This window comes from Homo sapiens, chromosome 20, assembly GCF_000001405.40.
Source record: "Homo sapiens chromosome 20, GRCh38.p14 Primary Assembly".
Taxonomy (NCBI): Eukaryota; Metazoa; Chordata; class Mammalia; order Primates; family Hominidae; genus Homo; species Homo sapiens.
This window is the reverse complement of record NC_000020.11, coordinates 55,452,788-55,479,022: the sequence shown is the minus strand read 5'-3', so window position 1 is coordinate 55,479,022 and position 26,235 is coordinate 55,452,788. Positions and strand designations below refer to the sequence as shown.

Genomic DNA, 26,235 nt, shown 5'->3' with positions numbered 1-26,235 from the left:
AAATAGGTCTATTTAATAAGTAATGGCACTGTAGTCCATTAAGTTTTGTGGTGAATACATCCCTCCTCCCTCTGAATCTTGTTTAAGTAAAAACATTTGGTTGGGTAATGTGACCAATGTACTTTAGGGTAGCAATTTATGGTACTCTCTTATCAGAAATTGCTTCCAAATGCCTCATATCCATATTTGAAATTCTGCAGGCAACAATTTTCCTAAATCTCACACATGGAGCTATGTGGCAGATTGCTTTAACTGACTTTATCAAGAAGCAAATAAAGAGTACATGGGTAAAATGGAGGAAAACCAAATAGAAATAATATGTGAGTATCAATTTTTACAAGGTTATTACATGTAATTTTACACTAAACATTTTTAATTAGCCTATTTCAAGCCACATTTTATTGTTAATATTATCCCAAGAATATTGGCTAGGTCTATGCTTTTTAAAATAAATGTATACAAATATGTAGATGTCTTTGGATTTTCTGTTCCTTCTTTCTTGATTCCCATAAATCCCTTTTATGAGGCTATGTCGGGCTCAACATTTGGTTATTAGTCAAATTCACTTCCTCCTGTTAAAAAGGACAGTTCTGGGTCAATTGGCAAATTTAGAATATGGATTGCTTTGAGATTCTAGTTTTGTATTAATGTTAAATGCCTTAAATGTAATATTGTGTCATGGTGATGCTCCAAATGGCACTGTTCTTAGCAAACACAGGCTGAAGGATTTAGAAGGGTCAAGATGCCTGTAACTCTTAATTGGTTCACAACAAAATTGAGATAGAGACATACAGAAGAGGGCAAAATGTTAGCAATTGGTTAAGCAAAGTGGAGGAAATATGGGAGTTCATTATACCATTTTTGCAGCTTTTCTGTAGATTTGACATGTTTTCAAAATAAACAGTTAAGAAAAACAAAATCACTTCCTCAGAGAGGCTGTCCCAACTGGGGCTTATGTTGGGAAATAATGCCATTGCTGCTCTATGTATTCTAAGAATCTAACATTGTCATGATGATTATTTATAATTTTAACAGCTCTACCTTCTGGATATAATTCAAGTAGACTATTTTAATCATGACTACATCCTAATAGCCTATAATGGTAAAAGATGCTCCAAGAATATTTTTGGAAAATCTGAATAAATGGCAGACACATATTAGTTACCCAAAATGTTTCCAAGATTTCTGTCCTTACAATGATTGATTGTCACATCTCAGGAAATGCAAACACTTTAACGTGTACATATAAGATGTTTCATTTCAACACATATACACATAACACTAATCCATGTGTATAAACATGACCAAGAGTATGGTGCACCGTAGAATCCAATTTATTTTTAAATTCACCCACTGTTTTGGATTATCCATGCTATTGATCTCATTCATTGGCAAAAGAAAAAGATAGTAATTACCTGAATTTCCTTTAATAGGCGCATTAAAAACCAACATTGAAAAATATCATTGGTATAACCATTGGAACACTGAGGCAGTGTTACTAAATATTTACATATTTTATGAAAAATTTTAGAAAATTTATACACGCTTAGAAAAGATTTCTGCTCAAAGCAAGCAGATGTATGAAACATGTTTCTCTTTGTCTAATACAAAAGACTAGCAGCATGTCATTTATCTGTGCCTTTTATCAGACAACTTGTGACCAATGTTCAACCTCTTTCTTCCTAATCTTAGCTAATTTTCCAGCATGAATTGTACAGTTGAATCCGATTTGTTTTATTTTATTATTTTGAATATTTCTATCTTTCCTTTGGACAAGGAATATTTATTCACCAAGGAATAATAGCTGCAAATGTTAATGTCCAATGTTAGTTATCAAGTCCATCTTAAACAACACATGGGGTACATACTTTTATGCTTTGGAGTGTTTTGATTTTTGTTGGGCAAAACAGGCATCTGGCACATCAAAGAAAATAATCCCGGTAAATTGAAAGGATCCCTCAACCTAAAATAATGAGCTTCATGTGTGTAGCTCATTTTTTTGTTAATTGCTCTTAATTTATTCAGCTGAAATACCTTACAGTTTTCCATGATTAAAGGGCATGATGTTTGACTTGTCATTAAATTAGTTTGATATTGATACAAATGAGCTATAAAGTATCTTCATGATTGCTTCCTGAATAATGTGAATGTATTTTCTTTTGTTACTTGCTCAATAAAGAATGAAATATACCTAATCTTTGGGTTTTGAAACAAATCTTTTGCAGTTTAAAAATGAAGGAAAGGGGAAATTAATCAGCAAGGAATGCATTTCCACAAAGAAATTAATAAGCTTCCACTGGTAATGAAGCTTATTTATTGCAATGCAAAATGAGTAATGGTAGGCATTTCCATTTCCATCTTAAACCTGATAGAAATATTTTGGAGGCTGAATCAAGAGGATTGTTTGAGGCCAAGAGTGAAGGCTAGACGGGGCAACAGAGTGAGATCCTATCCCTACCAAAAAAAATAACAACAACAAAAGAAAAAATAATCAGCCAGGTGTGGTGGCTCATGCCTGTAGTCCTAGCTACTTGGGAGGCTGAGACAGGAAGATTGCTTAAGCCCAGGAGTTTGAGGCTGCAGTGAGCTATGATCACACCCCTCTACTCCAATCTGGGCAACAGAGTAAGACCTTGTCTCTAACCGCCCCCAACCCACCTCCACACACAAATCTGACAAATCTCCATCAAAAATGAAAACTATTAGCTATAACTATACACAAGAAACTCTGTATTGAGCAGTGAGTGGCCCAATCTACAGTATCACATTTACTAAGTCTGCTGCTATTACCTATAAGTGTGTGTATTAGAAGACATACAAAAAGTTATTTTGCTGTATGATTTAAAAAAGAGAAAATATATGAAAATATATACCATTATTAGGCATGTCTCAGGTAAAAATAACTTACCTTTACTAAAATTTTGCCTATATCCTTAAGCTATAGAGAAACCTATTTGTCAGCATGCAATTCAGGGCTTATAACATATATGTAATAGTTTTTTTTCCCTATAGAATAAGAAAGACACCTCGAAAGGAGAACAGCTGGTAGCCTCTAAATGTTGAGGTCTTGCCCCTGAAAACACTGAATGAGATGCTTCCATTCCCTTTCCTTCAGTGAATTTTCCATGTTTCTAAAAGATGAGCTAGTAGCCCCTTATTGAGAACATATTTAGGATTTCATACCTGACTACACCAATTCACACCCGTTTATTCCATGATCCCTCTCTCCCTTTATTTCTGACCACATCTTTTTAACTTTTACATGACTGTCAATCTTTTTGTGTTTCTGGTTACCTTACTTACTTTGTCATAGGAAATCTAAGTTAAAACTGTCCAATAGAAATTAGATGTGAAAGCCGGGCGCAGTGGCTCATGCCTGTAATCCCAGCACTTTGGGAGGCAGAGGCTGGCAGATCACCCAAGGTCAGGAGTTTGAGGCCAGCCTGACCAACATGGTGAAACCCTGTCTCTATTAAAAATACAAAATTAGCCACGCGTGGTGGCACATGCCTGTAATCGCAACTACTCGGGAGGCTGAGGCAAAAGAATTGCTTGAACCCGGGAGATGGAGGTTGCAATGAGCAAAGATTGCGCCATTGCACTCCAGCCTGAGGAACAAGAACAAAACTCTGTCTCAGAAAAATAAAATAAAAAATAAAAAAGAAATTAGATGTGAGCCATAGATGTTACTTAAATTTTCTGGTAGTTGCGTTTTTTAAAATAGTAAAATGTAGAAACTAATTTTAATATATTTTATTTAACCTAATACATCCCAAATATTGTCATTCCAATATGTAATCAGAAAAAAGAATTAATGATATTGTTCTTTTTTTTTCTTTGATGCTAAGTCTTTTTTTTATTTTAGGTCGAGTCTCACTGTCACCTAGGCTGGAATGCAGTGGCATGATCTCAGCTCACTGCAACCTCCAACTCCCGGGTTCAGGTGATTCTCCTGCCTCAGCCTCCCGAGTAGCTGGGATTACAGGCGCATGCCCCCAGGCCTGGCTAAATTTTGTATTTTTAGTGGAGACAGGGTTTTGCCATGTTGGCCAGGCTGATCTCAAACTTTTGGCCGCAAGTAATCTGCCGGCCTCAGCCTCCCAAAGTGCTGGGATTACAGGCATGAGCCATAGCACCCAGCCAGATGCTAAGTCTTTGAAATTTGATGTGTACATTATACTTACAGTACATCTCAACTCAAACTAGCCACATTTCAAGAACTCAAAAGCCCTGTGTGGCCTGTGGCTGCCACACTGGACAGCACGGCTCAAAGAGAAACACAGAGGGGACTAGAATTAACTTCAACTTAAGGGCTTGCAGTTGCCCTCCATCAACCTCCTAGAATGTGTTAACAGAGGCACCTAACATACAGGCCATAGATTTTAAATCTGGAAAATAAACAGCTCAGAGTAGATGGTATTAAGCATTTGTTCTAACTCTAAGACTATGATACCATTATATAATGAAGACATTTTTACTTTCTGGCTTCCTTGGGGGTTGCTCTGAAAAACCATTCCCCATGGTTAAGTAAATAACATTCCTGCTGTGACCCACCGGGGAGCAGCTACACAAATGTGTCCTGTAAAGAGCAGCATTCTTGCAAATCAGAGCCTGCAACTAGGTGGGCCTACCCTAGAGGCTTTTTTTAAAAAATTGGAAGCTCATATATGAAGTCATTAAGTTTTGTTTTCATTTTTTCATAGCATCTTAATAAACATGACTTGTCTCTTTCAAATGCATTTACAAAGGCTTCTGACTGTTCAGTTTTACATGCCTTGGATTCTACTGAGTGTCTCCACAGAACTCAAAAAGTCCATTTTTGCCTGACATGTTGTCTACATTTTAAGTGAATTCATCCTCAAAGTATCTTCCAAACACTGAAAATCCAGTCATGTTTGTGTGATTGTGTTGGATGTAGAAATTTCATTGTACTTACATAGATCTTAACCATATTGCATGGTTTTAATATTTGGAGCCCCTGCTAATTTGCAAATAGTGATTGAAAAACTCAGCTAGCACAACTTCCCACAAATAATACAGTGTTATCTTGGTAGGTGCGCAGCATCTATTTCATTTAGTCTTCAATGAGGAAAGAGGCTTAGAAGATTCAATAATTTGCTCAAAATCACCCAATCATTTACTGGCGAATTTAACACTGGAATGGAGATTTTCTTGCTGAAGAAATAAAGGACGTTCTGAGCCACTGTATTATTGCACTTTACTGCACTTTGGGGTGATTTAGGTATGTGGACAGCCAGACTCAAGTTTATTCCTTTAGATCAGTGGTTCTGAAACCTGACCTTATAGAATCACCTAAGGGGCTTTTAAAAAAATACTAATGCCCAGACCCCTCCCAAGGTACCCAGACCTACTGAATTAGAATCTCTAAGGTTCATTTGGTCTTGCTTGAGGCCTGGAGCTGAGTATTATTTCAAACCTCCCCAGATTTCTAATATTGCAAACCAAAGCTGGGAACTATTTTAGTCCAATGTAAAAATGAAACCTTAGCCTAAGGAATGGATATTTTTTATTCTGCTCATTAAACGTATAGGCCTGCACAGGTAAAGGGAAGTAGATGCCTAAAAGAGTTGTGTGAATACGGATGTGTGCCAAATACTTATTTTTTAAACTAAAAATCTAAAAGTATGAGGACTCTGTGTGTGCATGTGTTGAAAATTTCAGTTTATTTTGTTTAAGCATTTGATTTGTCTACAGACATAACCAAACAATTTCAGATACTTCGTGGTACCTCTATGCTTAATTCCCATCCAATTTTTCCACCTCTTTTCCTAAGCAAGTTTCAGCACTCACTTCACACCCTTAATTAGGGATTGCATTTACCCATGAGTAACTAAAAATCTGACTAATACACATTTTTAAGTAAATTTGCTGTATAATCCCCCCCCCCCCCCCACATAACAAGAAGCCCAGGGTTAGTTCAGATTCCTTTACACTCTGCTTCATGCTCCTTGCCTCATGGTCACAGGATGACCACACTCCAGAGTCCTGTCCATGTTCCTAATTGATAAAAGAAAGGAACCACTGAGGATGTAGTCCTCTTAGGAAGCAATGTTTCCATCTCCTTCTACCTGATCGGTCAGATCTGTATTACAGACCATGCCTAGTTGAAAGGGATTCTGGGAAATGTAGTTCTTTTAAGTCGGATATAATTTCACCATCACCACTAGCATCCCACTGCCCCCAAACAACAATAATTAGTGCTATTGCTAAGGAAAAGGAAGAAATCGGATATAAGGGAGACGACAGTATATGCCATCCCTTCATTTTGGTATTGTCATTTTCTTCTGCTACATGCCATCACTTGACACAATTTGTAATGGTATATTCATTTATTTACTTGTAAGTTTTTTTCTTTATTGTCTATATATTGCCCTTTGTCCCCATAGGATCTATGTCTGTTTTACCCACCAATGTCTACACACCACCTAGCATCCTGCTTGGTGTCTAGAAGAAATTTGACAGATACTGGTTCATTGACAATGAAGTGAATAATATTGCCCAGGAGGAGAAGTAGGTAAGGACAAGAGGAAACAATATTTTTCTGATATTTAGGTATACTCTATTGTATTTAGTTAATTGATTTTTAAAATCAAAATATCTTTAGTGTGTTAATGCTACCAGTCTTTAAAGTGTGTTTTTATTGTGTTTACTTTTAATATAATTTTGGAGTAAGTTCTCAAATCCTGAATTACAAGAAAGATCAACTATACTATGTAAATGAGGTAAAGTTTTCTTTCAGAGTTCATATAAAATTCAGAGCATTACATGAAAAATATCATGAAACAGCATAAAATGTAATGAAATATTTAAAATACATACACTATAATACCACTGAAGTGAAGTCTACATAAACCAAACAATGTGTATCAGTCATATTGAAACTAATTTTAAATATATTGACTCTAGAAACTGGTAGATGTTTCATCACAGTATATAACTTGATTTCACATAAAGCTAAACATTGCAAAGACCTTTATACACAGCTCTGTTGTTGTTGAGTCAGGCTGTCTGAAGCCTGCTGTGTGGATCACCCCTTTCTGGTACCTCCTACATCCCCTCAGCATTCCCTCCACTCTGATCTCTCGATCCTTTTCCAGATTGCAGGTCATCAGCTAAAGCCTTAGAAGCTGGTAGGGAGTTGCACATGCATGCTCAGCAAAGACCGTGGGTAAAAGACAGACTTGGAAAAAAATCAGGAAAGGCATTATACTCATGCTCATTGGAAAGATGAGTTTTAGCTTACTTTGCAGAGAGTATTGAAAAAAAAATCACTCTGCTACATTGTGTCTTTTAGCAGCAATTTTAGAAAGGTTTCTTTTCCCTTCCATCAATTATTAAACAAAGAGAGCTCCAGTTGAGAGGCAGCCAATGCTTGCTGGCCATCCTGCAAAATCCTCAATTTTCCCTTTTACCCAAATGACCTTGGATAGAGCAAATATCCTCTCTGAGCTCCAGTTGCATTCCTGATACTAAAGCTTAGAGTTCATGTTTGTGGTGATGGTTAAATGAGATAACAGAGGAGATGAGCATTGTTTATTGTAAAACAAATACTCTTATAATGAATCATACCACTCTCGTGTTTAAACCTTCCAAAGGCTTCCCGTTGCTCTCCGAATAAAATCCAAATTTTTACTGACCCCTCTCCAAATCTCATTCAACCATCTCCCATTGAAGCCTGCACACTTATCTTGTTCTTATTCCATCAGCCTCACTCATCACAGCCCTTCACATAGAAAGTTGTACTGCCAAATTATCCCGTGTCCTATGTCATAATTTATACCTCAACCCAAAAGTCTTTTCAGAGAAGAATTATCTGACCATCTTCACTAACAGGTCTTCTTATCCAATTCCCTGCTGAGATCCTCCCTGACCAAACACCTTGGTTGACATTCTTCATAGCGCTATATGAAATACTTTTGTTTGTTAAAAGCTTATGGTCTGTTTTATCCACCTACCATGAAAGATCCAAAAAGGCAAAGACATTGTGTACCTGGAACAGTGCATCGTAGAATTTAGGAAAAGTACATTAAATGAATAAAATTTGGGCATAATAAATGTACAACCAGTCTAGTTTAGTACACTCACATTCTCAATGAGCTAAAGAGTTCAGTCAGAGAACTTTGAGAATGATGCCTGAACAGCTTGCAAGTAAATACTGCTTACATATATAATGCCTGAGATGAAATGTAACCCGGATGTCAGCTGTGATCTCATTCATTCATATATTCATTTTTTAAAAAATGTGCCAGTTCCTAGACTGGGCACAAACACATGATGGTGAGTTCACACTGGCTTGAGTCTTCCATTCCATGCTTTGTGGACATGTTGAAGACTCTCAACGTTTTCTATACATTCTGCACTGGGTAAGGAATGAGGCAGAGTGACCCCTGCTTCCGGAATTCCAATTTCTAGATGTGTGTCATTTTTTGCTCACAACCCGTCCCCACATCCAGGATATTAACTTTCTTAATGACCATACATAAAAGCTCCCACAGGTTTAACACATTCATGAGTAAAACAGACTTTCTTATGATGGGTTGGAACTACTTGATGGGTAGAGAAGGAACTTTCAATGAAGCAGAAAACTTAAAAGTGATTATGCCTATTCTTAGAAAATCCTCAACCACCCCATACTGGCTCCCATCCTGCAGTCTCTCACAATCAATTTTTTTCTATTTCCCTCCCTTCCTGGACCTTCTGACTCTCTCCTCTTCACTTTTGGGGGAAATTCTCCATAACCTCTTGAGCAAAGCATTTAATATCTCACCTTGTTGCTTGAGAACCATTAGACACATTCCCAATATTTCACCCGACACTCCACATGGTTTTAAAAATAACTTTACTAATAAAGCAATATAGGCTGGGCGTGGTGGCTCATGCCTGTAATCCTACCACTTTGGGAGTATCCACAATACGGATGGAGGTCAGGAGTTCGAGACCAGCCTGGCCAACATAAACCCCGTCTCTACTAAAAATACAAAAATTGGCCAGGTTTGGTGGTGTGCCTGTAGTCCCAGCCACTCTAGAGGCTGAGGTAGGAGAATCCCTTGAACCTGGGAGGCAGAGATTGCAGTGAGAGGAGATCGCGCTACTGCACTCCAGCTTGGGTGATAGAGAGAGGTTCTAAAAACTAAAGCAATATTCCCTCTAAGAGACATTCAGTGTCCTCTATTACCCTATTAATAGTGTTTTCATTGTGTTACCCTCATGTACACCTTATGAAAGAATGAATGGCTAGGAAAAAGACTAGTAGCAAAGATATCAGGACATGAGGTTACTAATGATATGCCTAATGAAAATATTTTACATTAATAAAAATGATTAAAACATAATAATGGCAAAGTGAATGCTTCCTATGTGTCAGACACTGCGTTAGGTTCTACACATGTATCATGTTATTCGATCCTATTTGCCTCGTCTGATAGGTACTATATTATCCCTATTTTATGGATGAAAATATGAGGCACATATGGGTTAAATAACTTGACCATGATCACTAATCCCTACAGATGTTTATGCTCGTCACTTCTCCAAGATTATGATTTTCAAAAGCAGACGGGTCAGAGGAATTATTCTGATTCTCAATGAACTGAAATTGTTTGTGAACAATGGTGTCTTTCCTGAAGAGAAAGGAATAGGAGAAGTCCAGGCACAGAATCTGATGCAGAGATTCAAGGTCATTTTAACAATTAGAGGCCAGTGTTTACCACTGCTTAGTACATGGTAGACAGATAGATTATGTCAACCACTTTAAAAGCTTAATCACATTTTAACCCCCAACAGGTCTCTAAGGCCAGTGCTATTATACCTTATTTCACAAATGAATCTCTGACAGCTTACAACCCTTAGGTCACAAATCTGGTGAGCAGCAGAGCTAGGCATCCACTCCAGGTGACGAGAATTTCTAATCACTCACCTGCATGCTTCCCTTGATGCCTGGCTCTGAGTTAACCTGGGACAGAGTTAAGACATTTGACTCCTTGCTGGTATATCACTCCTTCCCAAAGTTATATGCACAGAGCATCTCACCCCTTCCTTTGAGTTACTGGCATACATTTCATATAATTTTATTCCTCTTTTATTAAACAGTGAAAGCAATTTAAAAGAAAAGGCAGGTATTGATAAAATCATTCTCATTAAGCAATATGTTTCCATTTTCATTGCATTTCAGAATCATTTAATGACAAACTCATGCAGACAAGATACAATAACTTGTTGAGACTAACTTTTACTTCAGATTTAAAACAGTATGGTGTCTTGGCGGATTCATAACGAATCTTTTCTGTAAAATAATTTTTAGAAATGTCATCTTGCATTAGAAGCTTACTATTAGTTGTATTAGTTCATTTTCATACTGCTATAAAGAAACTGCCCAAGAATGGGCAATTTATGAAGGAAAAAGATTTAATTGACTCACAGTTCAGCATGCTTGGGAAGCCTCAGGAAACCTACAATCATGGAGGAAGGCAAAGAGGAAGCAAAGCACCTTCTTCACAGGGTCCAGCAAGGAAAAGCGTCGAGTAAAAGGGGAAGAGCCCCTTATAAAACCATGAGATCTCGTGAGAACTCACTCATTGTTATGAGAACTGCATAGGGGATACCACCCCCATGATTCAATTATCTCCACCTGGTCTCTCCCTTGACATGTGGAGATTATGAGGATTATGGGGATTAAATTCAAGATGAGATTTAGGTGGGGAGACAAAGCCCTTAGTAGTCTGTTAAATCTAAATTAATGCAAAGTGTCAATATTTGGTAAAGATAATAATGAGGGTCTTTCCATTTACCTGGGTTCAGGTGTGCTGGTTTTATATGCTTTTCTCCTCTGAGGGTCCTGATATACTCCAACCAGCCATACTTCAGATATACTTGAGAAGAGGCAGTGGGTAGTCTTATAAAAGAAGACATAACCTTTAAAAAGAAGACATAAATTTTACTACCAGTGGCTCTTTTGAAATATTTCACAATGGTTACTTGAGAGATGCTTTCTTTCTGTGGGTGATAGCACTAAGGCTTCAAGTTACAGGTGCTGAACCATGTCTTGCAAATAAGAGGCACATGGCAAACGTTTGCTTTTTTTTGTAGTTGTTTGTTTGTACATGGAGTGCTCTTAGAAAATTTAGTTTGGAGCCGCAGCACTTAGTAGAGTGTTCTGAATATCTACTGCTACATAATAAACCATCTTGAATCTCAGTGCCTCGTAACAACCATTTATTATTAATCTTCATAATTTTGTAGATGGACTGGGCTCAGCTTGGGGAGTTGCCACCCAGATTCTCCCATACATTTGCCATTAGATGGTGATCAGAACAGGAGCCATCTCTAAGATTCACTGCTCAGTTGGGATGGAGGTACCCAATGGCTCACAAATGTGTCCTGTCCAGACTTGCCGGCTATTGGTGGGGAGCTAAGCTGAGGCTGTCAACTGAGCACTTACACCTGGTTTCTCTGTGGGTCTGGGGCTTCTTACTACAAGGAATTTCAGTCCCCACAGACAATGTGCTTAGACTGTCTGTTCTAAGGGATTCTAGAGGTTGCAGCCTTGTTAGGTCTTGTCTTCAAAAGACCCAGATTATCACGTCTGCCACATTCTGTTGGTCAATCAATTAAATACCAAAACAAACAAAACAATGTGTGGTCATTTTTCCCCTGTGCACCGAGGTCTGCCACAGCAGCATGCCACTGCCCTTTTGCTTGAGCCCATGGAAGATGTGGCATTATTGCCCTTGAGATAGAACCTAGCCTCATAATCCTTCCAAGCAAACAGTTTTAGAAATTTTAGATTAATGAAGGAAAGTGAGATGAAACCTCTTTGGAGTCTCATTTTTACAACTGAAGTAGAAAAGCTTCTGATTCATTTTTTGCTTTTAAAATAAATTTTCTGTTTTAGATTAGAATTAGATTTATAAAAATTTAAAGTTCATACGGGGAGTTCCCATATACCCCACACCCAGTTCTTACAGTTCATATTGTATAGTACATTTGTCACAATTAATTAATCAATATTGATTAGCATTATTAACTAAAACCCATACCTTATATTCATTTCCTTAGTTTTTACCTGAGGTCGCTTTGTTGTTTTTCCAGGGCTGCATCCAGGATTCACCATTTTATTTGTTTATCATGTCTCTTCAGGCTCTTCTTGGCTGTGAAAGCTTCTCAAACTTTCCTTGCTTTTGATAACTCTGAAATGTTTGAGGTTTACTAGTCAAGTACTTTTTAAGAATATCCCCTCAATGGGGATTCATGTGATGCTTTACTCATGATTAGATTGGGGCTATAGTGTATTGGAAGAAGACTCCAGAGGTGAAGCACCCTTCTCATCACATTATGTCAAGGATTTGTGTGTGTGTGTGTGTGTGTGTGTGTGTGTGTGTGTGTGTATTTATTTTGGTCAAGGATTTATGTGTGTGTGTGTGTGTGTGTGTGTGTGTATTTATTTTGAGATGGAGTCTTGCTCTGTTGTACAGGCTGGAGTGCAGTGGTACGATCTCGGCTCACTGCAACTTCTGCCTCCTGGGTTCAAGCGATTCGCCTGTCTCAGCCTTCTAAGTAGCTGCAATTACAGGCAAGCACCACCAAGACCAGCTAATTTTTGTATTTTTAGTAGAGGCAGGGTTTCACCATGTTGCCCAAAGCTGGTCTTGAACTCCTGACCTCAGGTGATCTGCCCGCCTCGGCCTCCCAAAGTGCTGGGATTACAGGCGTGAGCCACCATGCCTGGCCAAGGATTCATAATATCAACATGACTGATTACTGCTATTGTTAACTTTGATTGCCAGGCTGAGGCAGTGTTTGTCAGATTTCTTCACTGTAGAGTCATTTTTTTTTTTCCTCCTTTCCATAGTGAACTCTTTGGAAGAAAGTCACTATGTTCAGCCCACACTTAAAGCATGGGGAATTAAGTTTTACCTTCTTAAGGACAAACAAATTATTTAGAATTCTTCTGCATAGAAGATTTGCTTATTCTCCCCTATGCATTTTTTTGATCATTTATTTGTGCCAGTATATATCATGCATATTGGTTTTATACTTTAGGTTGGGATCCAGTACAACTTTATTTTGATGCTTAATTTTTTTAGTTTTGGCCATTGAGAGCTCGTTCAGGACGACTTTATTTTGATGCTTAAATTTTTTAGTTTTGGCCATTGAGAGCTTGTTCAGGTGACTCCTACGTCTCTTTGACTTATCCCATCAGTGAGGGTTTTTTATTGTTTGTTTATCTATTTTTCTTTATAGCACCACGAGGCTCTCCAGGCTCATTTTCTGTTCCAGTCCTAGAATCAACCATTTTTTTCATTAAGCCCCGGGTCCTTTTATTAGAGAATGGAATTAGAGACCAAATTCTGGGCACTAGATGCGCTCATTGCTGCAAGGGTTTTGTTGTTTAGGCCCTATCAGTAGATACATGTGTATATACTAATCTGTGCATATACACATACCTATCAATATTTCTGTATGTAACCATCAATATCCACATTTAGCTAAACATGAGTTCACACTAATGACTCCAACTCTATTACCACATGGATCTTTCTAGTCTTTTCACTTGTTTTTCTGTAACTGCCCCCTCCAACGATGAGAAACCCATCTGCCATTCATTTACTTAATCATTCAATTCCAGACACGTATGGAGGTTTCAGAATTGTTAACTCTCACCTCTGCGGGAAACATCTTTACCAACTAGAGTGCTTATGTGAAGTTCTTTCTGCCTTTAATCTTATAGATTCTACTCCTTTCCAGATTTACTTAGATCGGCACCTTTTTCTCCCACTTCAGGAAATTTGTTTTACATATTTGCCATACAGTTATATTTATTCGTCACAGTTTATATTCCATCCTGAGAGTCCCTGGTCCCTTAAATACTTTATTTTCAGTTTGCATAAATTAGTGCTGACTCTTAGTACTATAAAATTCTATGGATTTTTGACAAACACATAGTATAATGTATTCAGCATTATAGCATCATATAGAATAGTTTCACCTCCCTGTAAAAAAATTAACTATGCTTCACCTGTTTTATCATTTCTCCTTTGACTCCCAAAAACTTCTGCTCTATTTATCTTTTACTGATCTGTTTACTAAACTGTTTTGCCTTTTGCAGAATATCACATAAATGAAATTATACAGTATGTGGCTTTTTCAAACTGGTTGGCTTATGAATTTTGAAAGTAAAAATTAACAAAAAAGTGAACAAAGAGAGTAAATTACCCTTTAAAAATGCATGCAGTAAAAATGATAAATTTTTAGGGAAAAAATACCTTTGATTTTCCAATTAAGGATACTATAAATGCAGAACATCGTTAAATAATAAGAGTGTAGAGTATGATAGTAGAGAAAGGATAAACATATAGATCAATAGAAGAGATTAGAAAAGTCAGAAATAGACTCACAAATTATAGTTGATTGACTCTTAAAGATGCAAAAGCAATTAGGGACAAGATAGTTTTTTCAAAAAATTATGCTGAAATATGGGAAAAAATGAGTTTTTACCAATATTTTGCACCCTATACAAAAGTAACTCAGAATAGATCATAAACTTGAATATGAAACCTAAAAGCACAGCATTCCTTAAAAAAAAAAAAAAAGAAAGAAAATCTCTGTGACCTTGAGTTTGGCAAAGATTTATTAGGTATGACACCAAAGACATGATTCATAGACTAATTTAAAAATAGGTAAATTGAACTTCACCAAAATTAACTGGATTTTTCTTCAAAAGAAACAAGAATGAGAAGGCAAGGCACAGATTAGGAGAAAATATTCACAAAACTCAATCTGATGAAAGACTTTTATGCAAAAGGTATAAAGAACTCTCAAACCCAATAATCAGAAAGCAAATAATTCAGTTAGGAAATGGGCAAAATACTTGAACAGACATTTCACTAAGAAAATATAAGGATGACAAATAAGCAGATGGAAAGCTACTTAGCATCACTAGTGACAAAAAAAAATGCAAATGAAGTCCACAATGTACTACTTCACACCTAACACAATGGAAAAAAAGAAAAAAATAACCCACCAACCTGACACTTCTGAGATGTGAATGACACTCAGATGTGAATAAGGTGCAGATTCATTGGAACACTCATTCTTCACAAGTGGAAATATAAAATGGTATAGCCACATCCACTTTGAAAAACATTTTGGCTATTGGCTTTGAAAAAAAGTTTTTTTATAATGTTAAATATATACTTGTCTTTTGATCTAGCAATTTCCATCCTAGGTATTTATCAAAGTGAAATAAAAACCTATGTTCACACAAAAACCTATCCAGAAATGTTTATGTTAGTTTTATTCTTAATCTCTAAAATCTGAAAACTATCTCTCAACTGCATAATGGGTAGAAAACATGGTACCTCTATGCAACAGAATACTTCCCAGTAATAAAAAGAAGCAAACTACTGATACATGCAACAACATGGATGAATATCAAATGCATTGTGTGCAGGTGAAAGAAGCCAGACTTAAACAGTTACATACGTATGATTCTGTTTACACGATATTCTTTTAAAAGATAAACTGATCCCAGCAGTTTGGGAGGGCGAGAAGGGCGGATCACGAGGTCAGGAGATCGAGACCATCCTGGCTAACAAGGTGAAACCCCGTCTCTACTAAAAATACAAAAAATTAGCCGGGCGTGGTGTGGTGGGCACCTGTAGTCCCAGCTACTCGGGAGGCTGGGGCATGAGAATGGCGTGAACCTGGGAGGCAGAGCTTGCACTGAGCCAAGATCAAGCCACTGCTCTCTGTCGCCTGGGCGACGCAGCAAGACTCCGTCTCAGAAAACAACAACAACAACAACAAACAGAATAGTGTTTGCCAAGGTTTGATGGTGGAGTGAAGAATTCACTACAAAACAGAAACACGGGAATTTTTGAAGTGATGAGAATTTTCTATATCGTTGCTCTGGTGGTGGATACGTGATTCTGTGCATTTGTCAAAACCATAAAAAATGAATCTTTCTTTACATACCTTAAAAAATGAATGAATCTTAGTTTATATATCTTAAAATAAAAATCAACCACCAACGATAAAATAAAAGTGTCACAGAGACTAAATAACAGATTGTTAAAATGACACACGGCTCTAGTTTTTCGTTCCTTCAGTTCCAAGTACTTTGTTAAATGACTTTCAAGGCCTCACCCATGTGGGGCCAGTGAGTGGTAAGGTGAGTCTGGGGAAAGAGCTAGTATTTAGGCTGGTGGTCTCAAAAGGATCTTAGGCCAACTGCTCTGCAAATCAACCCAAATCTACTCAGGCTGTGAATACTGAATTATTGTTGTCATTGTTTTTCTAGATCAGAAATCTTCACTCCACTGCTCTCTATGTTTGTGGCAATTTCCTGTCTTTATCCAAGTCAGGACTTGTCCCTTCAGGCACTGGTCCCCAACATTTTTGGCACCAAGGACTGGTTTCATGGAAGACAGTTTTTCCATAGACCAGGGGGTTAGGGGGATGGTTTTGGGATGATTCAAATGCATTACATTTGTTATGCACTTTATTTCCATTATTATTAAATTGTAATATATTATTTACATTGTAACAATATATTACATGTAACAATATAGTAATATACATTATATGTATGTTATTATATTATTATATATTTTATTATATTATACGTAATATATATTACATGTAATCATATATGTAATATATAACAATGTAATATATTACAAATGTAATAATAATGTATTCCCATGTAATTATATAATTATATATTACAATGTACATTATTACAAATACATTATTACAATGTAATAATATATTACAAGGTAATACATTATTACAATGTAATACCTTATTAAAACATAATAATAATATATTACAATGTAATACATTATTACAATGTAATACCTTATTACAACATAATAATAATATATTACAATGTAATGCATTATTACAACGTAAAAATGTAATGTATTACAAGTAATGTAAAGTATTACAACATAATGTATTACAAGTAATACATTATTACAACATAATAATAATATATTACAATGTAATAATAATAGAAATGTTATATATTACAAAATAGTATATAATGGAATAATTATACAGTTCACCACAGGGTAAAATCAGTGGGAGCCCTGAGCTTGTTTTCCTGCAACTAGACGGTCTCATCTGGGGGTGATGGGAGACAGCGACAGATCATCAGGTATTAGATTCTCATAAAGAAGACACAACCAAGATCGTGCGCAGTTCACAATAGGGTTTGTGTTCCTATGAGAATCTAATACTGCGGCTGATCTGACAGGAGGCGGAGCTCAGGCGGTAATGTGAGCAATGGGGAGCGGCTGTCAATACAGATGAAGCTTTGCTTGCTTGCCCACCCCTCACCTCCTGCTGTGTGGCTCAGTTCCTAACAGGCCACAAACTGGTACCAGTCCATGGCCTGGGGGTTGGGGAGCCCTGCCTTGAGGGTTCTGTTTATGGCTGGATAGCAAATGGGGTGACTCAAAGTATTTTCAGAAAACATCCTTTATAGCCCCCTTCCTTTACCTTGTTGTTGGGATGCTGGTGGAAGTTTGTCAAATAGGGACACAGAAATATCTGAATTTTCTGAGTCTAAGTATATCTGAGATTAAAAACTCATGGGCGTATACTTCTGAAAGTAAGTACTAGCCTTCCTGTCAGATATCACTTAGGCATCATTTGTCAGATGGATGAATGATCATAATAACAATTAGCACACACTGTAGTCCACACCCTTCTCCCACACTCCTAGGAACTCATAAGCCCCAGAAATTTAATTCCAGAGTTAGGGGAAAAGGAGATATTCCTTTCTACCCACAAAAGAGCAGTGTGAATAGGTGTCATGAGATAGGCTTTTCTGGGATCTGTGTTCTACTGAGCAAATTCAAATCAGCTATAAAGAGAATTTTAAACGTCTCAAGCTTCATTCTCCTGAATTTCAGGAAACCCTGTAAACAGCTTCTGAAGTTCTTTCATTCCATGTCAGTACATACCCGCGTGGCTTCTTCCCCTACACTTAGAAGAAAGAGCCGCAGGCTTCCATATCTTAGGCAAGGTCAATATGTCACAGACACTGTCCACACATACAAATATAAAATTGTGTTCAGTGTTTGCCACGGCTGTGAACTGCAGGGGTAGAATGAAAGCTTGGGATGGAGACAAAGTGAAATTGCTCTTTTAAGGGAGTGTAAATGTGCCCAGGAACACAGAGAGGCATCCAGCATCTCCTAATTGTATCCAGTCTGCACTGGTGATGCCACCTCCCAAGGTTCCCTCCAGCTGAGTCCGTCCCTGAATGAACAATGAGGACATTTCCTTTATATATTTTTTCTCCCGTCAATGTTGCAGATTCATTTTGACAGAAACATGGCAGGGTGATATTGTCCAAAAGGTGATTTGACAGTGATACACAGACTTTCTCTGTAGCTTGTTATCCACTAAAATGATTTAGAGGAAAAGGGAAAAATAAGGTGATTTGTAGTTGAAAGAAACCAAATAATAAATTAATGTCTGTTCAGAAGGGTGTAGTAGGAAAACTACTAGAAAAGACACAAGAATATGGTCTCTAGTCTTGTCTGTTTTCCTTAATGGCACCATGAACTTGGATAGTCTGCTTAAACTCAAACAACTTCCATTTCCATGTGCAGTAGATAGTAATAACATACTGCCTTATTCAAAAGGCTATGCAGAAAGGATCTAAGGGGAGGACAAAAAAAAAAAAAAAAAACATTTATTTTAAGGCAGCCTAGAATCTATTTCCTTCCCTAACAGCAGTCTGGTTTTATCTAAGGGGAAACATGCTAGTCATTAGTTGGAGAGTGGCCTATTACATGCAAGAGTTAGGGTACACAAAGGGAGTTCTGAAGAGTCCTTGCACCCTGTCCTTCTTTTTATTTTCTGGTAAGATCAAGATGGGCACGTGACTCAAGCTACAGGGATTTGATGCTCCTCCCTGGAATGCATAATGACCAGAAAATCTGGAAGCAGTAGAAGGTCTTCCCAAATGTGGTTGCCCATGCAGTTTACTTTCCAGATGAAAACATGCCTGTGATTCTATCATTCTGGGTTTCTAGGGACAGCTTCCTTCTTTCCTTATAGTCCAAAAAATTCCCTTCAGCTTCAACTAGCCAGAGTGCGTTTCTGTACTTCGTTACCAAATAATTGTTGCTCCTAGAGAGGTTATTCTTCAAACCCTTTCAACATATAAAAGACTAGATAAAAGTAGCTCTAATATTGTTTTTGAAACACATGCTTTTCTACATGTTTCTGAACATAATTCAATAATTAATATTTTATTAAAACTACTATGTCCTTCTACACTCAAACCACTAAGTCCGCACGATAAAGAAGTTTAATTACTAGACAAGAATGCAGACCAATTATTGTTATACATTTTGTGACTTTTTCCAAAGACTGATGGCTAATATTGGAATTAACATTTCAAGTTCTTATTCCATGATAATGATTTGAAGCTCAATTCTTCATCATGGGTTTCTATAGTTTTCATTCCTTTGTAGATTCTTTTGTTTAAAGGACACATAATACACCATCCTAATATCAGCAATTTGGATTAGAATAAGATATCAGTCACTTTAGATTTTTTAAATGATTACGCACTTAGCAAAGAGTTGAAAGTTCAAGTATAAAAATCATAAATATATACCTCTGTAGAGACATAAAGATCATGATCAGAGACAATAGCTTTTGATTTTGGATTGCTGTTCATTCTTTCAACCATGTCCCTATATTTTCTATCAGATTCCAGTACTTTGAGGTTTTGCAAACAACATTATTCTTATTTGGTAGATTTTTTTTAAAGCTAAAAGTTTAGAAAAATCTCACTAGGAGCTTATCATCACTACATTCTTTGATTTGGGAAATTATTCTTCAAAATCAGCATAATGAATGCTATTGAGATCCCTACCCTGGTACAAGAAAAATACTAAAAAGTATTTTTCCCAGGCCAAGAAAAAGCTGTGAGTGCGTTCACACAACCTCCTACCCTTCAATATCTCTTTTTGTCTATAACTATATGTCTATATGTCTGTGTCTATATATCTATATTTGTATCTGCATATACTATATCTATAACTCTAATATATCTGTACTATATGCACATAGCTATATCTACATAGATATATGTTCATATCTACTCTGTAACTGTATATATGTATCCATGTATATATGTATCTATCTATTTATTATGTATTTACCCATCATGTTCCTATTCATACTCAAAAAGGCTGGATAAATTTGCATTAAAGATTAATACCAAAGAAGAGGATACAGCATGTGCAAAAGTCACTGGGTGTAGGTGTGTAGGGCTGGGGACACCATAAAAAGAGAGACAGTTATCTTTTAGAGCAGTTGTAACAGAAGTGCAAGAAGGATTGAAAATTGAGTGACATAGGCCATAGAAGTCGATGGTTGCCCATTTCCAACTGAGCTGTCTCTCAAAGGGACCACTATGTGCAATATACTCCAAGATTAGTAGAGGAGGGATTTATTTATTTAGTGATGGTTAATGATTGATCTCACCAGGCATGTTGGGGAACCAGGCAATCATTATAATTATCAGTATCTGCCCAAGTAAGAGTCCAGCACTGTGTTAAATACTTTATGTGCATCATTTCATTTAATTCTTATAACAACCTTGCCTTAGTTTCACCTTACATGGCTGAGGAGACTGAGTCTAAAAAGGGTAAAGAAAGGTATGCAGAGTGATAGAGGTAAGAAGCAAAAGAGTCTAGGTTCAAACATAGGTTCTTTGACGCCAAAACTCAGGTTTTTAATCATTTATTATACTACACTGCTCCAAATATTAGCATCATTTTGTTACTTTAATTTATTTCATTTTATTTCTATTCTTCCCAGTGATTGCTATTATTTACCATTAGTGTATACGACATTTTTCTCCAGAATAAATTTAAAGGGCATTTTAAAATCTTTTTTTTTTTCAATTCCAGAAGGAATTATCACATTCTGTATACACAACAGCTTTCAACCCTGGATTATAAAACAATTTACAGATAGATACCACTAATCCCCAAGATCTCACTGAGGGATGGGTAAAGAGTATACTCAATCAGATAATTGATATTTATTGAATGTCTTCTATTTCTCCTTTACACTACACATTATATCATTTCATTTAATTTTCATCATGAATCTGTATGGTAGGTAATATAATCTTTATTTTACAGACAAAGTTGAGACTCAAGGGTTTAAATAATTATTCTATATAATACGTCGGTCTCCAGTGCCACAGTTAACTTTCCATCTTCGGACACGGAAAATGTCACCACATTATTTTCCAAATCACAGAGTGGTCAATCAGCAAGTAACATTAACTTCTTTATTTAAAGTATATACTTTTCTCATTAGCTTTCTTATGTTATCACACAGTTTTCATAATAATTAACAGTGTGGCATCCTTGGTTAAATTGCCTTGATTCTGTCTCACATCCACCACACTCATTATCTGTGTGACATTAAACTTCTCTTGAGTTTCCTCCTTTAAAAAATGGCATAACAATAACATCTACTTCATAATGTTGTTGTGAGGATTAAACAGGATAGTATAGATAAGTTGCTTATAAGTCTACCTAGTATACATCATACTAAATCCTTAGTAAAGGTTAGGCAATGATATCATCATAGCAATGTCATTTAAAAACTAATGTTGAGCATGTAGTCATGCATTCACTGACTTCTATACACAACATAAAATCTAATTTGATTCCTGGCCAAAAAAAAAAAAAAAAAAAAAACAAATATGTTGCTTGGCTTATTTCCTTTTAAAATGTTAATTATAACTCAGATCTAGGACCTAGACAGGTGTGTATTTAGTTAAACTTAAAACTTGGCAATCTTTTCTTCATTAAAAGGGAATGCAAAGATAGAAAAAAATTATCACAAATATTTATAAATTAATTACCCTTATTTGGCAACTACCTTTTGCACAATTCTTTGCAAAAGCCAGAAAACAAAACAAAGATAAAGAATGGGTGTAGCAGAGAAAAAAAGGATTTTAAAGGTGACTATATAGAAAGACATTCTTAGAGGACTTATCTGTCTGTGTTTTCTTTTCTTGTTTGCTGTCAAATGCATAAAAAAGTTGACTTTCTCATGTCATAAATTAGGAAGAACAGCATTGCATTACTGATGGAGGGTAAAGAGCTAGTATCTCAGCAGGTCATGCAAATTTTGAGATATTGGGGTTTGGAAGTTTAAGAGTTATGGTAGCATCATGAGTCAACACCTGAGAGGTCATGTGACTCATCTGCTGTCCAGGGGCTGTTTGTTACATCGGTCACAAGTTCTCTCTTTATCCTGGCCTATGAAATGCAGTATTACTGGGTCTTGACTGCATTTCTAACCTTATCCTCCATTACTAGTCATTCCCTGCTTTAGTCAGGGTACTTTAGGCTGTTCTGCTTTAAAAAAATAACTCCATCATCTCAGCAGTTTAACAGAGAAGTTTGTTTCTTGTTCCTATAGTTTCATTCTTGGATGGGAGACTCCCAGATTGCTGTTTTCCACCTGAGGTGTGAGTCATCTCAACAGGAAACCTATCCCATTCACTCCTACAGGAAAAGAGAGAGACTCAAGAACCATGAAAGGCTCTTTACTGCTCCATTGAGGAAGAACACATTTTATTGTTATTTGCATGGACAGAAAAGGCATATGTCTCTAACTACAAAGCAGCACAGGGATGTAATCTCTGCACGTGCCCAGAAGAAAAGGAGAAATGGATACGGGTGGGCATCAGACCCGTTCTTCCTCTGCTTTATCACATTGGTCTTCTTTCTATTCTTGGAACTCTCCAAGCTTATTTCTATTTTAGAATCTCTATACTAGCTCTTCTATAGTGCAAATAAGTCAAAACATTCCATGAACAGAGCAAAACCAGAGCAAGTGCTCCAATCCTGGAAGAATGCTCTGACTTATGTTTCTCACACTGGAATTCCTTACACACTATTTCAGGCAGGAGAACATCTAGACTCTACCTGAATTACCCCTGGGAAGCGGGGAGCTCATCACTTTGCATTATGAGCAGCATAACTGCATTTATTGAGGATGAGTATTTATTGAGTATGCAGTGATTTAAGATCATTGTAATATAATGGTCTTAAACCAGTGCACACTCAATAAATACTTGAGTATTCCATTGTAACATAATTTTATCTTCATAACATCATTGTATTATGAATACTACTGTTACTACTTAGAAAATAAAGAACCAAGACCAGGCACAGTGGCTTACGTCTGTAGTCCCAGCTACTCGAGAGGCTGGGGCGTGAGTATCGCTTGAACCCAGTAGCCAGAGGTTGCAGTGAACCGAGATCACGCCACTGCACTCCAGCCTGGGTGATAGTATGAGACTCTGTCTCCAAATAAAATAAAGAAACAATGACTCAGATAAATTTAATAATTTTACCTAGGTCACACAGTTGGTGATTCAAATCTCAAAATTAAGTTTTTAACTAAAATTATCTAATATTTTTGAGAAGGTGACCGATTCAGTTTTTGGAAATCTCTAGCTGTTAGAAGGATATTTCTTCCTTTATTTAGTCAAATTATGCCTCCCTATAACTTTCCATCGTCATTTTTTTTCTGTTAATCAGAGCCACTCATAACATGTATTCTTCTCTATGAAAGCTGCTACAAAATTTGAAGATAATATTTAATAATGTGATATTATTTCTAGACTACTCTTTATTTTTGATGTAGACAGGCTTGTTAACATCCCTTTTAAAATGCGATACAAGATTGGCAATGGATTTTTGCAATATGACCCCACCAGGACAGTGTCTAATGAGTACTTTATTATTACTGACTTATATATATCACATTCCAGTTTTGAAGCCTGCTTCCTTTAGCTTAGTTGGTAACTGAGCCTTTCTAATAAGTTCTAGTTGAGTTTCATCTAAAACCCTATAGATTATGAAAAACAATCAGTTCTTGCATAATTTTTTACTTTCTTTGCTAAAAACAGTCCTACACATTTATTCCTATTGAATACAAAGAAGGAAAAAAAAACAGAGCAGAGCTTTATCTAACTACCTTCACAGTTAGGAAGGGCCCAACCTCATGCTACAAACACTAACAACTATTTGTCAGAATAAATTCCATTATGATCAAGTGAAAGAATATAGTTCTATTCAGCTCAGAAGCACACTGAATTGGCATGGCTGTGAAGACCCAGAGAAGAATTTGTTGAGAGAAGTCCACAATGGCTTCCATAAATGATAAATCTAGACCTGCATTTCTAAACATCAACACCTAGCCCAAGACAGAAACAGCCTTCATAAGTGAAATGGATCTCATCCAAAATAACGTCTTTAAGAAGTTAAATATTATTCTTAGTTACATCCAAGAAGATGCTGTGCTATTAAAATAAGACAGGATGATAAGAAACAAGAGGGAGTGAGAATAGGGTGTTTTGGGAACAAAAAAAATGTTAGTTTTTGGATTAAAATATCAAGAAAGCCAATGAATCATATTCTTGTACAGTTTATAGCTAAAAGAAAAATATAATAGTTTATTTAATTCTAGCTAGAAATTTTGAGGGGAAAATAAGATATAGTAAGATGAAGGATAGATCCAGGAGACCAAGCATTTATACAATTTGCAGAAGGTGGAAGCAACTGCAAAGATCAGCAAGCGTTTTCTATAAAGGTCCTGACAGTAAATATTTTAGGGCTCCTCAAGCCATATGACCTCTGTCATGACTACTCAAGTCTGACCTTGTAGTGTAAAAGCATCAATGAATGAGTATGGCTATGTTCCAATAAAACTTTATTTACAAAATTGGCTGTAGCTTGTTGACCCCTGAATGTCAGGAAAGAGGAAATAATAATCAAAAGCAACTTGTCATTATGCTTCTACTCGGGAGGCTGAGGCAGGAGAATGGCGTGAACCTGGGAGGCGGAGCTTGCAGTGAGCCGAGATCGCGCCACTGCACTCCAGCCTGGGCGACAGAGCGAGACTCCGTCTCAAAAAAAAAAAAAAAAAAAAAAAAAAAAAAAAAATATATATATATATATATATATATATATAGGTTTGGACTGAAGCAGACATGAATTTAAATTCCAGCTCTGTTGTTTACTTACTCTGTGATCTTTTTTGAGCAGATTCATCTAAGATGTGAGCTCATCTTTGTTAAGTGAATATCTTACATAGTATAGAACTAAAAGAAAAGCACAATAATAGTCTATAATATCAGAGTAGGAAAATTATATGTGGTATATAAAAGGCTTACCATTGTGCTGGGCTCAATAAATAAAAATGCCTATAACTTGAATTATTATTATTAGTGAAGGAATATATTTAATATATAAAACATTATTACAAATTAATAAAAAATATAGACATTCAAAAATTTTAATGGGATTAGAACCAAGAAACTGGCAATTACAAAAGAAACAAATTAAAATTTTAGTATAGTAAAAAGTTTAAATCTTCCAGGAATAAAAATAAATATGAAATAAACAATGATGTTCCTGATTTTATAAAAGAAATATTAAAACTTTTTTTCTATTTTTTGGTGTTGGTAAATGTATAAAGAAATAAACACTTTTGGCTACTTCTATGGGTGGTCAAAAATGGTATAATCCTAATTAAGGGCAAATTGGCACTTGTATTTCAAAAGCCACAAACGTGTATATGCCCTTTGAGCCTATAATTCCACTTTGAGAAATAGATCCTAAGAAAGTAATAATAGATGAGAAAGAATTTGTCTCAAAATATTTCTTACAATTTTGTTGGTACTCATTACCAACAATGATAAACTATTTAAATGTACAAGAATAGAGCTTGGTTCAATAAGTAAGCCATATGATAGAATACTTGGCAAAATCATTAAAATGATATTCTAAGATTTGCTTTTTTATCTTTGCACTTTCGTATTTTTATGATTTTTATAATATTCTTATGTAATAACAAAATAGATTCTATTAAAATAAATAAATGAAATTAGCATATGTATTAGAATTTCTGGTGGCAAAGGGCAAACCCAATATACCCTTTACTTAGTCAAAAAGAATTTAATGTTTTACTTTATTAAAAAATACAGAAGTGGATTAAATAGCTTGCCTTACTAAACATCTTACTAATCCCTTACTTTACTAAAAAGTAGAAGCATGGGTGGATTCAGGGTCTGAAGCAAGGTGTGACCTGAACCCAGTTCTCTCTGTCTCCTCAGCCATGCTTTCTCCAGGGTTGCCCTTCCTTCCT

General features: G+C 36.2%; 1 annotated feature.

Annotated features, from left to right (window-relative positions):
- Positions 7,318-7,612: an enhancer, noted in NCBI's record as "tiled region #10667; HepG2 Activating DNase matched - State 5:Enh". NCBI's record gives its function as "activates a minimal TATA promoter and a strong SV40 promoter by Sharpr-MPRA in HepG2 cells {active_cell/tissue: HepG2}" and the evidence as "EXISTENCE:reporter gene assay evidence [ECO:0000049][PMID:27701403]".